Source organism: Homo sapiens, chromosome 2 (genome assembly GCF_000001405.40).
Source record: "Homo sapiens chromosome 2, GRCh38.p14 Primary Assembly".
NCBI lineage: Eukaryota > Metazoa > Chordata > Mammalia > Primates > Hominidae > Homo > Homo sapiens.
The window spans coordinates 201507888-201525908 of NC_000002.12; the positions used below are offsets into that span (position 1 = coordinate 201507888).

Genomic DNA, 18021 nt, shown 5'->3' on the forward strand with positions numbered 1-18021 from the left:
TGTCACACACTTTCAAACAACCAGATCTTGTGAGAACTCACTCACTGTCACCAGAACAAGGGGGAAGTCCACCGCCATGATTCAGTCACCTCCCACCAAGCCCCTCCCCCGACGTGGGGATTACAATTCAAGATGAGATTTGGGTGGGACACAAAATCAAACCACATCACATGTTAAATTAGCATAGGATAAATGTTGAATTTCAAAGCAGCAGGAAAAGATGAGCTATATAGTCAAGACTCATTTGCAAATTATAGAAACTAACATAAGTTTAAGAATAAATGTATCTGGGCTGACACAAATAGATTTATTATCTTGCTCCAAAGAATAAAAGCCTTTTATGTAAACTGAGAGAACTATAGGACAATATGACATAGTCAAAGGGTGCCAAAGGCAGGAATTTTCTAATTTTATAGGTACAAGAAACTGTTTAAAGTACTAAATGCAGTTAATTATTTAAATTAGTTGACTTAAAAATTATATAAATGAAGATGTCAAAGTTCAAACTTGAAGTAATTACAGAAAGACAGACTGCATTTCCTACAATTGTGGTTTTTTTCCATTTTATTTTTTATTGTGGTAAAAAGCACATAACATTAATTTTACAATGTTAACCATTTTTTAAATGTACAGTTCAATAGTGTTAAGTATATTCACATTGTTGTGCAACAGATCTCAAAAATTTGTTCATCTGGCAAAACTGAAACCCAGCTGGGTGTGGCGGCCCATGCCTATAATCCTAGCACTTTGGGAGGCCGAGGTGGAAGGATGGCTTGAGCCTCAGAGTTTGAGGCTGCAGTGAGCCATGATCGCACTCATAATCTCCACTCCAGTGGCATTGTGAAGTATTTGTCCTTTCGTGATGGGCTCATTTCACTTAGCATAATTCCTCAAAGTTCATCCATGCTCTAGCATGTGACGAGATTTCTTTTTTTTTTTTAAGGTTGAATAACATTCCATTGTATTTATATACCACAGTTTCCTTATCTGTTCATCTAAGGATATCTGTGATGTTTCTACCTCTTGGGTATTGTGAATAATGTTGCAGTAAACATGGGTGTGCGAAATTTCTTCAAGGTCCTGTTTTGAATTCTTTTAGATATATACCCAGAAATAGGTATGTATCTATGTATCAGAAATAGGATCACATGATAATTCTATTTTTAATATTTTGAGGCACCTCCATGTTGTTTTCCATAGTGGCTGCATCATTTTACATTTCCACCAACAGTGCACAAGGGTTCCAATTTCTCCACATCCTCACCAACACGTTATTTTCTTTTCTTTTGATAGAGGCCATCCCAGTGGGTGGGAGGTGATAATTCACTGTGGTTTTGATTGGCATTTGTCTTATGATTTGTAATGTTGAGCATCTTTTCATATGCTTATTGGCCATTTGTATAGCTTCTTTGGAGAACTCTCCATTTTTTAACTGTGTTGTTTTTTGTTGGTGTTGAGTTGTAGAAGTTCCTTATATATTCTGGATATTAACCCCTTATCAGATATATGATTTGCAAATGTTCGCTACCATTCCATGGATTACCTTTTTACTCTATTGTTTCCTTGATGCAAGAAGTTTTTAAGTTTGATGTAGTCCCACTTGTCTATTTTTACATTCAGTTTTAAATGCTCTGAAACTTAGACCCCTCAAACCACTTCTGGATAAAGACTTTACCAGTTTTCTCATGAAAAGAGATAAGATATCTATACTAAAACCATGTTCTATTTGTCACTTAAGTGGAAACTCCAAATAGTGTTATTTTACATAGTAAATTATGTGATTAAAAACAATTATTTACTTTTCATTATTTTCATGCTTAGAAATTTTACTATCTTATTTTTCTTCTCAAAATATTTGTTAATTTTTAAATGAATCTATTTGTCATTCATTCACTTATTAAGTAATTATTTAACAAAAATATGGAGCAGCTATTATAAACCAGGCACTCTCCCAAGTTTTAGATCACAACTGTTCTCTCCTTCCATTCCTTACTCCCCAAATGGGGTAACCTTTAAGTACAATCAACCCTAATATATAATATATACATTTAATTTTAAAGATATCGCTGCATTTTATGAAGTTTGCCTTAGAAATAATATACTTTATTTTAAATAGGAAATACAGTGGCTCATTTAACTAGGAATTCTAAGGGATGGGCATGGCTGGCTCCAGGGACTTAATGTGATCAGGACACTCTCTCTCCATGTTGGCTTTTACAGGCATTCTCTCTTCATCTGGTAGGAAATTACCACTGCTAGCTCTTGGTTTAAAAGAATAAGGGGTCGGGGATGTGGCTCACACCTGTAATCATTTGGGAGGCCAAGGTGGGCTGATCACCTGAGGTCAGGAGTTCAAGACCAGCCTGGCCAACATGGTGTAACCCTGTCTCTACTAAAAATACAACAATTAGCCAGGTGTGGTGGTGTGCGCCTATAGTCCCAGCTACTCGGGAGGCTGAGGCACGAGAATTGCCTGAACCTGGGAGGAGGAGGTTGCAGTGAGCCAAGGTTGCACCACTGCACTCCAGCCTAGGTGACAAAGCAAGACACTGTCTCAATAAATAAATAAATAAAAATAAAAGAATAAGAACACCCTGTCTTAATATTTTTAATTAAATTATATGCTCATCCTTGTAGCCTCTGAGGCAGTGTCAAGACTGCTAACCACACTAGGGATTGGGGCTGGGACAGGGGTGAAACCCTCAGGAAGGGATGCTGACAGACAAGAATAAGTTGACTATAGGGAAAAGGTAATAAATTGCATTGAGACAATTGCCTATCCATTTCAGCAAAGATATTGGTAAGTTCTTACGTCATATTAAAAAAAATCATAGATAGATTAAATAGTTAAACATAAAAACCATATGCTATAAAAGTACTAGAAAAACATATAGGAGAATACTGACATAACCTAAGGACCTTCTAAACAAGATATAAACCAACAGCCAAAAAGGAAAAGGTGTTGAATTTGACCACATAGATGTTTAAAAATACCTTTGACCTCAAAGAAGTTAAAAAACATAAATAGCAAACAGCATAGATAATGTATTGTTATCCAAAACATATAAAGCATTTTCACATGTAAGTAAGCAAACACAACCCGACTTGTAAATATGGGCAGAGATTATAAACAAATAACAGAACTACAAATAGATAATAAACACATGAAAATTGTTCACTCATTAATAATCAGGAAAATGCAAATTAAAGTATCAGTGGACTATTATTTTGTGCATCAAATTCTTAAAAACGAAAATGTGAGTGTGGGATGAGTACTTTCTAGCGTTTTGATGCAAATGCAAATTAGCATATCTATTTTAAAGCATAATCTGGCAGTATCAAAATAAATACGCTTGTACCCTCTGATCCAACGATTCTACTTTTCGTACTTATCCTATACTTACACAGGTGAGTAAAGTTAATACTTACCGTTTAGCAAGTGTCTATTATGTTCCAAGCCCTTTAAAATTCTTTGAAAGAGGTGATAGGTAGTATACTCATTTTGCAGATGAGAAAACTGAAACTCAGATGTAAACTGCCCAAAGTTATAGGACCATGGAAGAATCTGGATTTAAACCTAAATATTTCTGCCTGTAAAATCCAAGGTCTTTTTACTGTATCATACGAGTTCTCTTACTACCACCAAACGCTACCTTTCATTGCTAAGTAAAATTAATTTCCCCATCTCTCCTCACCTTTTTTTCATCCTGACTTTTGGGGAAATGATTTAGGGTCCAGTCACTGTCAGGGTTTAAGTAAAAGCTAATTAAGCTATATCTTGAAAGGCTTAATTTATGAACGGGCTCTAAAAATGTGAAGGAACTATTGAAAGACTGTCACCTGAATCAGCTATGAGTTGAAAGAGATGTTATCAGTCCTTTCCAATTCAGATTTAGTACTCCAGAAGTTTGCCTCAAAATACTGCATTTCTATAACACACTGTCTACCTTGGCTCATTAAAAAAAAAAAAAAAAAAAAAAAAAAAACTCTTCTTTTAACTTCAAACAACTCCGAAGATTGTTTTCCCACAGAATTCTAAAGATTTTGTGACTTGTTTGTGAAGCAATTAACTTGGACTTTCAGAAATTTGTTCTAGAACTCTGAGATGTCTTCAGTTTACAAGTCTGTTGCCCTAGGTGATAGATTCAATCTTTTAAGTCTGTTGATTGTATATACTGGAATATATGTTTAGTGGGTTACAAACCCAATTTATCTTTTTCAATTTAATTTTGTTTTATATGTTGGGTATGGCTCTGACTACCACTCCTAAGAAAAACATCTTAGGTAAGTTTTCTTTTTCGTTAAAATATTTGACAATGATCTTTCTTTTTAAAAGTTAAGCTTTTTATTTTGAAATAAATGTAAATTAATGTGCAGTTGTAAGAAATAACAGAGAGAGCTCATGTTCTCTTCCTTATTCAGCTTTCTTCAATAGTAACATCTTTCAAAACTGTAGTACAATTTCACAACCAGGATATTGACATTATACAGTTAAGACCTAGACATTTCCACAAGGACCTCTAATATCCTTTTATAATCTCACCATTTCCTTCCTGCCCCCATCCCCTATTAATGTCTGGTAACCACTAATCTGTTCATTTTTTATAATTTTGTCATTTCAAGAATGTTATATAAATGGAATCATACAGTGTGTAACATTTTGGGATTGTCTTTTTTTTACTCAGCATAAATCTCTAAAAATTCATCCAGGTTGTTGTATATATAAATAGTTTATTCCTTTTTATTGCTGAGTATTATTCCATTGTATGGATGTACCAAAGTTTATTCACCAGTTAAAGGACATCTGGGTTGTGTTCCAGTTTGGAGCTATTATGAATAAGGCTGCTATGAACATTGTATATAGGTATTTTTATGAACATGTAAGTCTTAATTTCCCTGGAATAAATGCTCAAGAGTGCAATTGGTGGGTCATAGGGTAGTTGCATGTATAGTTTTTTTAAAGAAACTGAATAAAAGGCAAGATGGTTTACTAGGAGAACACATGGACACAGGAAGGGGAACATCACACTCTGGGGACTGTTGTGGGGTGGGGGGAGGAGGGAGGGATAGCTTTAGGAGATATACCTAAAGCTAAATGATGATTTAATGGGTGCAGCACACCAGCATGGCACATGTATACATATGTAACTAACCTGCACATTGTGCACATGTACCCTAAAACTTAAAGTATAATAATAATAAAATAAAAAAAAAGAAAAATAAAAAAATAAAAAAAAGAAACTATCAACAGAGTAAACAGACAACCTACGGAATGGGAGAAAATATTCACAAACTACGAGTCTGACAAAGGACTAATATCCACAACCTATAAGGAATGTAAACAATTGAACAAACAAAAAACAATCTCATAAAAAGTGAGGAAAAGACATGAATAGACACTTCTCAAAAGAAGACATACAAGCAGCAAACATATTTAAAAATGCTCAGCATCACTAATCATCAGAGAAATGCAAATCAAAGCCACAATGAGACACCATCTTACACCAGTCAGAATGGCTATTATTAAAATGTCAGAAAACAATAGATGTTGGCAAGGCTGCAGAGAAAAGAGAATGCTTACACACTATTAGTGGGAATGTAAATTAGTTCAGCCGCTGTGGAAAGCACTTTAGGAATTTCTCAAAGAACTGAAAATAGAACTACAATTTCAGCCAGCAGTCCCATTACCAGTTATATATCCAAAGAAAAATAAATTGTTCTACCAAAAAGACATATGCATTTGTATGTTCATTGCAGCACCATTCACAATAGCAAAGACATGGAGTCAACCTAGGTGCCCATCAACAATGGACTGGATAAAGAAAATGTGGTACATACACACTATGGAATACTATGTAGCCGTAACAAAATGAAATCATGTCCTTTGCAGCAACATGGATGCAGCTGGAGGCCAAAATATACAAAATTGTAGGCTATAAAACAGTTTCAGTTTTAAAGGATTCAAATCATAGATATGTTTTCTGACCAAGTAGAATTAAATTACAGTCATTTCTAGAAAATCTTCAAATGTTAGGAAACTAAAGACATTTCTGAGTAACCGATCCATCAAAGAACAAATCGAAAGATAAATAAGAATGTGTTTTGAACTGAATGAAAATAAAAACATAAGTCAATATTTATGGGATAAATTTAAAGCAGTACTTAGAAATTTATAATAATATATGTAATAAAAAAGAAATATCTCAAATTGTTTACCTCAGGCTCCACCTTAAGAAAATAGCAAAAGAAGAACAAATTATTCATAAATTCTTCTAGAATACTGAAGGGGGGAGAATATTTCCCAACTCATTCTACAATACCAACTTTACCAAAACTAGTAACAACATTACAAGAAAGCTACAGACCTATATTTCTCATGACTATGTGTGAAAAACTTCTCATAAAATTTAGCAAATGAACCCAACAATATATGAAAAGGATAAATACATTATAACCAAGTAGGGTTGATCCTAGGAACGTAAAGTTGGTTTAACAATAAAAATATCTGTGCATTAATATTTTATTATACTAATATACTAAAAAACATATGATCATATCAGTAATTTCAGAAACAGCATCTGACAAAATCCAGCACCTATTATTCATCAAATCTCTCAGCAAACTAGGACTAGAAGAGACTTTCTTAAACCTAATGAAGAATGTCTATGAAAACCCTATAACTAACATCAAACATAATGGTGTAGTGATGGAAACATTCTAGTTCTTGATAATGGGTGACGATTACACAAAAATACACATTTGTCAAAACTCATTGAACTGTCCACATAAAATTGGGTATAAGTTTCTCTAGGAAGAGTATTGGCCAGAATTCTGCCCACTAAGTGAAATAATGAAATCAATTTTTGGATCTGCATAGCTGGCCCTTGGGCTAAACAGCCATAGTGGCCCAGCTGATACCATCAGGTTTCATCTGCTGAACCATCTGTGAACCTGGTCCAGATATTTAGGGGAAACTGTGAATCCAGGGCCCCAACTGAACCAGTGGCTTTGTTTTTGGTGGCAGAATAAAGAAAAATGTATTGCCTAAATTAATGGCTGCCAATTTTTTTTGCAAAACCAAAATGATGCTAGGACCAGGTCAGATGCACCCCTAAACACACTATTACCATTTGGCTAGCAAGGCCTGTTGGTTTAGGCCCCTTTCAAAGCATGCTAAATAAAGGACTAAGTAGAATCCCAAAGTGAAGTACATATGGTCTTTCACACTCAAAAAAATTAAAAACTAGTAGGGGATCAAAGAGATAGTTTTTTCTTTGATTGCCAAAGGAATTGAGTGTTGTGAATCTGCCCATAGTTTTTTTTTTTTTTTTTTTTTTTTTTTTTTTTTTTTTTTTTTTTTTTTTTGAGACAGAGTCTTGCTCTGTTGCCCAGGCTGGAGCACAGTGGTGGAATCTCGGCTCACTGCAGCCTCAGTCTCCCAGGTTCAAGCCATTCTCCTGCCTCAGCCTCCTGAGTAGCTGGGACCACAGGTGTGTACCACCACGCCTGGCTAATTTTTGTATTTTTAGTAGAGACACAGTTTCCCCATGTTGGCCAGGCTGGTCTCGAACTCCTGACCTGGCAAGCAGGTCCTTGAATTTGTCAGGGTTTGTCAGCCACTCCTGTTGGTAGAGGTGTAATAACACCATAGTCAGGGCCACTGAAATTGAGGATTTTGACTTGCCAACCAACAGGGCATCACCTGTATCTTTGAGCAAAACTTACTGTCTGGGAGAAAGGTAACATGATCTTACACATAGGGCACTCAGCCAATTCAATATATAGTCATGTGCCATATAAAGACCTTTTGGTCAACAACAGACTACATGATATTGTTTGTCTCTATGTCCCCACCCAAATCTCATATCAAATTGTAATAACAGAGGGCAGAGGCACTCACTTAAATCCGGATCCACCCACCTGTGGCAAATGGCAAGGACTCCTCTACATGTGGCAGTGCCCTGAATGGGAAAATTTCCCTTGACACTTTATGAGCATTCACAGTACAAGTGTGTAACACATCGATTTCATTACACACCCTTAACAATAGATGCTATAACAGCAGTATTCATGTGCCAATTAACAATGTGAATACACTGAGAAACGTGTTATCAGATGATTTTGTCATTGTGTAAGCATCATAGTATGTACTTATATAAACCTAGATGGTGTGGCCTACTACACACCTATGCTATAGGATCTAGCCTATTGCTACTAGGCTACAAACCTGTACATCATGTTACTGGACTAAATACTGTAGACAGTTGAAGCACAATGGTAAATATTTGTGTATCTAAACACAGAAAAGGTACAGTAAAATATGATATTATGGTCTTATGGTACTGCCGTCACATATTCAGTGTATTAGTTTGTTTTCACACTGCTCTAAAGAACTGAGACTGGGTAATTTACAAGGAAAAAAGGTTTAATTGACTCACAGTTCTGCATGGTTGAGGAGGCCTCAGGAAACTTACAGTCAAGGTGGAGGGGAAAAAGAGAAGCAAGCACCTTCTTTACAAGGCAGCAGGAGAGAGTGGGTGAGTGAAGGGGAAGTGCCACACTTTTAAACCAGCTGGTCTCACTCACTATCAGGAGAACAGCACGGGGGAAATCGCTCCCATAATCCAATTGCCTCCCACAAGGCCCCTCCCTTGACATATGGGGATTATAATTCGAGATGAGATTTGGGTGGGGGCACAGAACCAGACCATATCATGTGGTCTGTTGACCAAAATGTCATTATGTGGCACATGACTATATATTGAATTGGCAGAGAGCCCTATGCATAAGATCACTTTAACTTTCTCCCCACAGTAAGTTTTGCTTAAACCATATTAATTGATTTCAGGTTTTTGTGGAGATTTTTTTTCCCCCCTACCAGAACACAGACTCACCTGCGTATGGGGGTGGGCGGGGAAGGGGTGGGGCACAGATGCTCCAACAGCTGTCAGGAGTTTAACCTTATTTTCAGACTAGGTGCGTAGGGAGAGCAAGGGAGCAAGAGGGCCTCACCTACGGGATAAAGCTGGAGTAATAGGAAGGCTTTTTTTTTTTTTTTTCTATTTCACCTCATGTCAGGATTGGTACTACCTCCTCCCGTGTACCTCCCTGCCTCCGGAAAGCTCCCAGACACAGGGAATTTTTTCTTTCTGGCACATGCTGCTATAGCTCTACCTGGGAGCCTTTGGTGCCTATGTCTAACAGAACCATAAAACTTTGTGTCCTTCCCCTGCCTGAAGTTCCCCAATGTACTGGGCCTTTTCCTTAAAGCAGCTGAGGTCATCCCCTTCTTCCCCACCTCCCCACCACTAAGGGAGAGTGAGCAACAAACAAAGCACCGTTTGGGTGGTTTCGATCCTGCCTGTCACAACCCAGCCTCTGAACAGTCATTAACAGGCAAGACAAGGGGAAGACCGTTATTAGCCATTTCCCCTCCCCAACCCCTGCCTCATACCACTTGGATGAGAGCATTTGCCACCGAAATCCAAGGAATCTTCTCATATTCCCTAACCCAGCCTGCAGGGTTTTCTTTTCCTTCCTCTTCCAGAAAGCCATGTCTCTGTCAGCATCCCATTCTTATTGTCAAAATTGGCAGAAACAGTGCAAATTCTAGGGTTTTACCCTACTTACAAGCTGTCAAGTTATCCTGCCACAGTTTTATAGATGCTGCCAGAAGACTTCTAAGTCAGAAAGAGAGGACTATATTATTTATAGTAAAGCCCTATTGAACCAGCAATTTTCTTCAGAGGGCAGAGTGGGGGCCAAGGTTTCCCCCAAAGGGGTAACTGCCACTTCTTACTGTAAAGATGAAATACTGCTGGGGCCAGGATGTCCGTGTTCTTGAATCTACCATTTCCATTTTACAAGTGAGGCTTGTTGGGCCCTTTCTACCTTGTTAGTAGCTGAGTCCAACTTGACCCACCTCAAGATGGGAAAAAGTCAAAGAGTCACAAGGTCTCCTCAGCTAGAGTGTTCACTTTTGAGAAGAGCTCAGTACCTCTTGCTACTAGTTACTCAAGGTAATAGCTACTTTTCAAAAAGAGTGTACCTGATAGCTATGTCAGAGGGAAACAAGTCCAAAACCCCAAAGGGTGTCTTCAGGCAGAGGCTCTAATCAGTACAGATTCATAGCTCAAAAAAGTCATTAGGATTGCAGAGCCCCTGACATAAGCTTGCTGGACAGCTTCTAACTCAGCCTGTTGGACTGGGCCCTATTAAAAGGATGCCAGTCTGTAGGTTAGCCAAGATTAAGGCCATAGTGAGGCACATGCCACATCCTGTGCCCAGAGCCCGTCAAGGTGCTGGGCCTCATTTTATGGTGGTTGGGGTGGAGGTAGGGGGACTGCAAAAAGGCAATAGTTTTTCTTTGACTGCCAAAAGGACTGCCCATTATGAATCTGCCCAGATAGACCCAATAAACTTTATCTGGTAAGCAGTCCACCTAATTTTGTCAGGGCTTATGAGCCACTGCTGCTAGTGGAAACACGGTAACTACCACATTCATGACTATTGAGACTAAGGCTTTTGACTTGCTAACCAATAGGACATCATCTATACAGTGAAACTTGTGGATATCAGAGGGTACAAGCATTCAGGCTAAATCCCAACCCACCCACTGGTGGAAAATGGTAGATGAGTAGGTATCCTTAAGGGAGTACTACAAATGTTTACAAACTGATCTTAGTCCTCAGGTGTCAGTGGTGTACGAAAGGTGTGTTGACAATGTCCAAGACAGAGTACCAAGAGTCAGCTGTCTGTAGAATGGATTCAGTAAGTCGCAATGTTTGGAACAGCTAAGGTATGGAGGCAACAAATGAATTCAGTTGGTAATAATGCACTGTAAGTCTCCAGCTCCATTAGCAAATTTTACTGGCCATACAGGAATGTTGTATTTAGATAATGCATTTCTTAATTTTTCTGCTGCCTTTAGGTCCTTAATGAAGGCCATGGTTTCCCTTTGTCCTCCTAGGATTCTGCAAATTTTTTTATTGAGCCATCTGGAAGGGGACATGGAGACAGGCAAGTAGTAATTTGTATGTCACACTAGCACTTCTTTACACATGACTCTTCCAATCATTCTGATGTTTATGTAATGGAGATGATCCAGCATATAACACAATAACTCCTCATATACATTCAGATGTAGGAACAACCACAGTTGTTGTTAGGTCAGTTAAATTGGCCTAAAGAGCCTCACCTGGAAGGTTTAGTTCCCTTCTCCATTGTGAACTATGCCCAAATCCCATAAGCTGAATCTAGGTGACTTTTCCTTACTTCCTGGGGTAGGAAGAAACTTTGCCCACCACCAGCAAAGCCGCACCACCACTGCCATAAACTCTCCCAACCTAGGCCACTGAGATGCAAATGACACAAGCACAGATTACAGCTGAAGAAACTACATGGTGACTATACTACTGTGTCCATCCAGAATCAAATCCAGTGTACCCTGCTGAACCAACACCCAAGACCCATCTAAACAAATAAGTCTTTCCCTACAAAACCTTCCCCAAAAGACGTGACTATTACACCAGATATGTGAAATCTACATAGAGACATATCAAACATGAAAAAGCAAGGAAACATGACACAAAGGAACACGATAATTATCTAGTAACAGACCCCTAGCATAAGGAAATATATAAAATTCCAGAAAAATATTCAAAATAATAATCTTAAGGAAACACTGAGATACAAGAGAATACAGATTGAGGATTCAATGAAATCAGGGGAAAAATCATGATTTGAATGAGTACTTCAACAAAGAGATAGATGTCATTAAAAAAAGAACCACAGGAATGCTATGAGGAATTAAATGAATGAAATAAAAAATACAATCAAGAGCTTTAACATCAGACTAGACCAAGCAGAATAAAAAATTTCTGAATTTGAAGACAGGTCCTTTGAAATAACACAGGCAGACAAAAAACGTCTTCACCTATCAAGTATAACCTTGAATATAAATGAATTAAATGCCGATTTTAAAAATACACACTGGATGAATGGATAAACATAACAAGATGCAAATATATGTTGCCTAAAATAGAATCACTTCACTGTCAAACACTTGAAAGCAAAGAGAGAGAAAAAGATATTCCACACAAACAGAAACGAAAAGCAAGCAGGGATAGCTATACCTATATCAGACAAAACAGACTTCAAGTAAAAAGCTGTCAAAAGAAACAATGAAGAACATTATATAATAATAACAAAAGGATCAAGTCAGCAAGAAAATAACAATTGTAAATGTATATGCACCCAATACCACAGCACCCAGATATATAAAGCAAATATTATTAGATCTAAAGAGAGGGATAGGCTCCAATACGATAATAGATGGAGACTTCAACAATCCACTATTAGCATTGGAGACATCCCTAGAAAGAAAATCAAAAAGAAACATTGGATTTAAACTACATCATAGACCAAAGGGACTTAACAGACATTTACAGTACATTTCACCTAACAGCTGCAGAAAATACATTCTTTTCTTCAGAGCACAGAACATTCTTCAGGAATGACCATATGTTAGGACACAAAACAAGTCTCAAAAAATTTTCAAATTTGAAATCTTATCTAGTCTCTTATCTGACCACAATGGAATAAATGTAGAAATCAGTAAGATAAACATTTAAAATAATACAAATACATGGAAATTAAACAACATATTCCTGAATAACCACTGCGTGAAGAAAGAAATTAAGGATTAAAGTTCATTGAGGGTCAGGTGCGGTAGCTCATGCCTGTAATCCCAGCACTTTGGGAGGCTGAGGCGGGTGGATCATTTGAGGTCAGCAGTTTGAGACTAGCCTGGCCAACATGGTGAAACCCCATCTCTACTAAACATACAAAAATTATCTGGGCAGTAGTGGAGCATGCCTGTAATCCAAGCTACTAGGGAGGCTGAGGCAAGAGAATCGCTTGAGTCTGGGAGGTGAAGGTCGTGGTGAGTCAAGATCGTGCCACTGCACTCCAGTCTGGGCAACAGAGATCCTGTCTCAGAAAAAAAAAAAAGAAACAGAAGAAGAGACATCAAAATGGATACCACAGAAATAAAAAAAAAATCATTAGAGACTACCATGAACAAGAATATACCAATAAATTTGAAAACCTAGAGGAAATGGATATATTCCTGGAAACATACAACCTACCAAGATTGAACCAAGAAGAAATAGAAAGTCTGAACAGACCAATAAGAAGTAATGAGACTGAATTAGTAATAAAACATCTCCTAACAAAGAAAAGTCCAGGACCAAATTGCTTAATCTGAATTCTACCAAAGTTTAAAGAAGAATTAATACCAATTCTTCTCAAACTATTCCAAAAAATTGAAGCAGATAAAACTCTTTGTATTAGTTTGTTCTCACACTGTTATAAAAAACTACCTGAGACTGGGTAATTTATGAAGAAAAGAGGTTTAATTGACTCACAGTTCCACAGGCTTAACAGGAAGCATGGCTGGGAGGCCTCAGGAAACTTACAATCATGGCAAAAGGTGAGGAAAAGCAAGCACCTTCTTCACATGGTGGCAGGAGAGAGAGACAGACAGAGAGAGAGAGAGAGAGAGAAAGAGACACACAGAGAGAGGTGCCCACACTTTTAAACCATCAGATCTCCTGATAACTCACTCACTATCATGAGAACAGCAAGAGAGAAATCCTCCCCCATGATGCAATCATCTCCCACAAGTCCCCTTATCCAATTTGACATTACATTTGGGTGGGGATGCAAATCCAAACCATATCACTCTTCCTAACTCATTGTATGAGACCAGCATCACCCTGATACCAAAAGCAGACAATGACACAACAAAAAAAGAAAGAAAACTACAGGCCAATATCCCTGATTAATGTAGATGCAAAAGTCCTAAACAAAATGCTAACAAATCAAATCCATTAATACAACATGATCAAGTGGGATTTATCCCAGGAACTCAAGGATGGTTCAGCATGTGCAAATCACTAAACATGATACATCATATAAACAGAAAGAACGAAAAAAACCATATGATTATCTCAATAGATTAGAAAAAGGATTTGATAAAATTCAACATCCCTTTATGATAAAAACTCTTAATTAGGTATAAAAGGAAAGTACCTCAATACTCAATTCAATGTATTTAATACACTTCAGTATACAATAAAGGCCATACATGACAAACCCACAGCTAACATCATACTGAATGGGGGAAAAACTTTCAACTAAGAACTGGAACAAGACACCACCACCCACTCTAACCACTTTTATTCAACATAGTACTGGAAGTTCTAGCCAGAGTAATTAGCCAAGAGAAAGAAATTAAGGACATCCAAATTGGAAAGGAGGACGTCAAATTATCCCTGTTTGCAGAGACATGATCTTATACATAGAAAAATGTAAAGACTCTACCAAAAACTCTTATAACTGATCAATGAATTCAGTAAAAATGAAGGATACAATCAACATACAAAAATCCAGGAAGAGGAGCCAGGATGGCCAACTAGACACAGCCAGGAAGAGCTTCCCTCACCAAGATAAGATCATCAAGAAGACCAGCACACTCCAAGCAGATCTTCGGAAGGAAGGCATTGAGAGTGGATGGAGGGAGGATGCAGACTCTGGTTGAAGTGGGAGGAAGCTGGGAACCCTGCATGGGGTTGCCAAGCACAAGGACTCATTCCTGGCCCCAAGCAGCTTCTAAGGAAAGGGTAGGTTAAATAGGTATAGAGTGGCCCACTCTCAACATGGATCTCCAGAATCCTAGCTGCAGGTGACCCCATGACCCCCACAGACATTTGAGCTGGCAGGGAGAGCTGCTTGGAGAGTTGGCAGGGACAGGGCTCCAACCTGTGTGGAGCCCAGAGGGTTTAGGTGCAGGAAAACTGCAGTGGACCATGGCCAGAGATGGCCATTCTGCAAGGCCTGCCATATTCCTCTAGGTGATTTTGGCTTTTGTTGACTGTTGGACCTGGATAGAACAGGGGTATCTTGCCTGTGAGACAGGGCCAGTTTGGTCTGAGTGCTTCCATCCTCCCATCTGCTGGCCACTCCCAGCTTCCCTACTTGGCCACTCCGACTTGCAGTGCAGCCTCAGATGCCCAACCGGGGTGTTTCCCAGAAGCCACTGCCATAGCTCTTTGGCTGGCAGATCCTGCCTAACCATCAGAGAGCTTTTGTAGATGGGCCCCTGCCAGCATGCATCCACCTGCAGCCTCCCCCCACCACTTTGCCAGCACACGTGTGTGTGGACCTCACTGCCCTGCCATACCAGTGCATGCACGTGGACCTTGCCGCTGCCATCATGCTGACCCTGCTGGTGTGCATGTGTGTGCAGACCCCACTGACGTCACTCCAACAAAGCACTTCTGCCAGCAGTCCCCATTGGAGTATTGTTTCCCAAGGACCAGGAACACCTCAGGCCCTCCAGCAGATGCTTAACCTTGAGGGGCCAGAGAACAAAGCAGTGTGCCTGGTGCTAGGCCCCCAGGGTTAGAGCACACAGCCCAGGAGTGCTGAGCTGAGCCTTGACCCACTGAAATCATCCAGAAATGAAGCCAGTCGACTAAACCCAACTTATACCACAGCCAAACCCTCAAGGGAATCAAAGAATACAAAAGCAAGAAGCCCCATCCAAAGGACAGCAACTTTAAAGATTAAAGGAACATCAGCTCACACAGATGAGAATGAACCAGTGAAAGAACTCTGGCAACTCTAAAAGCCAGAGTGTCTCCTTACCTCTGAACAACTGCACTAGCTCCCCAGCAATGGTTCTTAACCAGACTGAAATGCCGAAATGACAGACATAGAACCCAGAATCTGTTTGGCAGCAAAGTCATCAAGATTCAGGAGAAAGTTGAAACCCAATTCAAGGAATCTAAGGAATCCAGTGAAATGAGTCAAGAGCTGAAAGACAAAATAGTCATTTTAAGCAGGAGACAAACTAATCTGGTAGAGCTGAAAAACTCACTATAAGAATTTCACAATACAATCAGAAGCATCAAAAGCAGAATAGACCAAGCTGAGGAAAGAATCTCAGACCTCAAAGACCAGTTCTTTGAATTAATTTAGTGAGAAAAAATTTTTAAAAATTAAGAAAAATGAACAAAATATCTGAGAAATATAGGGTTATGTAAAGAAACCAGCCCTACAACTCATTGGTATCCCTTAAGAAAGGGAGAGAGAGCAAGCAACTTGGAAAATATATTTCAGGATATTGTCCACAAAATATATAATCCCCATCCCCAAGACATATAGTTATCCCCATCACCAAGACATATAGATGACCATCCCCAAGACATATAGTCATCAGATTCTCCAAGGTCAATGCAAAAGAAAAAATATTAAAGGTAGCTAGAGGAAAAAAGGGCAGGTCATCTACAAATGAAACCCCATCAGGCTCACAAGAGACCCTTCAGCAGAAACCTTATATGCCAGAAGAGATTGGGAGCCTATACTCAACAACCTTAAAGAAAAGAAATTCCAACCAGGAATTTTATATCCAGCCAAACTAAGCTTCATAAGCTAAGAGGAAATAAGATCATTTTCAGACAAGTGAATGCTAAGGGAATTCTTTACCATCAGAACTGCCTTACAAGAAGGCAGCAAGGAAGTGCTAAATATGGGGGAAAAAAGACTCACTAGTCACCAAAAAAACATATTTAAGTACACAGCCCACTGACACTATAAAACAACTACACAATCAAGTCTACACAACAACCAGCTAACAACATGACGACAGGATCAAATCCACATAAATCAATATTAATCTTGAATGTAAATGTAATGTGCCTCCACTTAAAAGGCAGAGTGGCAAGCTGGACAAAGAAGCAAGACCCAACTGTATGGTGTCCTTAAAAGACCCATCTCACATGCAATGACACCCATAGGCTCAAAGTAAAGGGATGGAGAATGATCTATCAAGCAAACAAAACAAAAGAGAACAGCAGTTGCTATTCTTATTTCAGACAAAACAGACTTTAAGCCAACAACGATAAAAAAAGACAAAGTAAGACATTACGTAAGATAAAGGGTTCACTTCAACAAGAAGACTTAACTATCCTAAATATATATGCACCCAACACTGGAGCACCCAGATACATGAAACAAGTTCTTAGAGACCTACAAGGAGACTTAGATAACCACACAAAAACAGTGGGAGACTTTGACACCCCACTGAGAGTATTAGCTCATTGAGGCAGAAAACTAACAAAGATATTCGGGACCTAAACTTGACATTTGACCAAGTGGACCTAACGGACATCTACAGAACTCTCTGCCCCAGAATAACAGAATATACATTCTTCTCATGTGCATGTGGCACATGCTCTAAAATTGGCCACACAACCAGAAATAAAACAACTCTCAGTAAATTTAAAAAAAATTATATCAACCATGCTCTGGGACCATAGTACAACAAAAATACAGATCAATACTAAGAAAATTGCTCAAAGCCATATAATCACATGGAAATTAGACAACCTAATTCTGAATGACTTTTGGGTAAATAATGAAATTAAGGCAGAAATCAAGAAATTCTTTGAAATTAATGAGAACAAGGATAAAACATACCAAGATCTCTGAGACCCAGCAAAAGCATTAAGAGGAAAGTCTATAGCACTAAATGCCCACATCAAAAGTTAGAAAGGTCTTAAATTAACAACCTAATGTCACAGGAAGCAGAATTTTTCTACAGGAAGCAGAAAAATTAGAGGAAATCAACAACAAAGCCAGCAGAAGAAAAGAAATAACCAAAATCAGAGCTGAACTGAACAAAATGGAGATGTGAAAACTGACACAAAAGATCAATGAAACCAAAAGTTGGTTCTTTGAAAATATAAATAAGATTGATAGGCTGCTAGTTAGACTAATCAAGAAAAAGAGAGAAGATCCAAATAAACACAATCAGAAATGACAAAGGGAACATTATCATCAACTCCACAGAAATACAAAAAACCTTCAGAGACTATTTAAAACACCTCTATACACACAAGCTAGAAAACATAGAAAAAATGGATAAATTCCTGGATACATACAACCTCCAAGACC

The 18021-nt window shown here is 38.4% G+C and overlaps 1 protein-coding gene across 21 annotated transcripts in view, besides 1 other annotated feature; it reads right to left on the reverse strand.

Annotated features, from left to right (window-relative positions):
- The window catches only part of CATSPERT (catsper channel auxiliary subunit tau), a 131758-nt gene that overhangs the window by 20467 nt on the left and 93270 nt on the right, over positions 1-18021 (reverse strand). The window contains exons 1-2 of one of the 21 annotated variants that reach the window (XM_047443513.1): positions 3841-3957; positions 3430-3741 (exon numbers count right to left, since the gene is read on the reverse strand). The exons of 18 other annotated variants lie outside the window; for them this stretch is intronic. The gene's annotated coding sequence lies outside the window, so the exon portion shown is untranslated. Of the gene's footprint in view, positions 1-3429; positions 3958-18021 lie in introns of those variants that run through there. 2 more of the 21 variants (XM_047443511.1, XM_024452727.2) reach the window with 2 other exon arrangements.
- Positions 17046-17246: a silencer, noted in NCBI's record as "peak4010 fragment used in MPRA reporter construct". NCBI's record gives its function as "represses an SCP1 promoter by STARR-seq MPRAs in K562 erythroleukemia cells {active_cell/tissue: K562}" and the evidence as "EXISTENCE:reporter gene assay evidence [ECO:0000049][PMID:32103011]".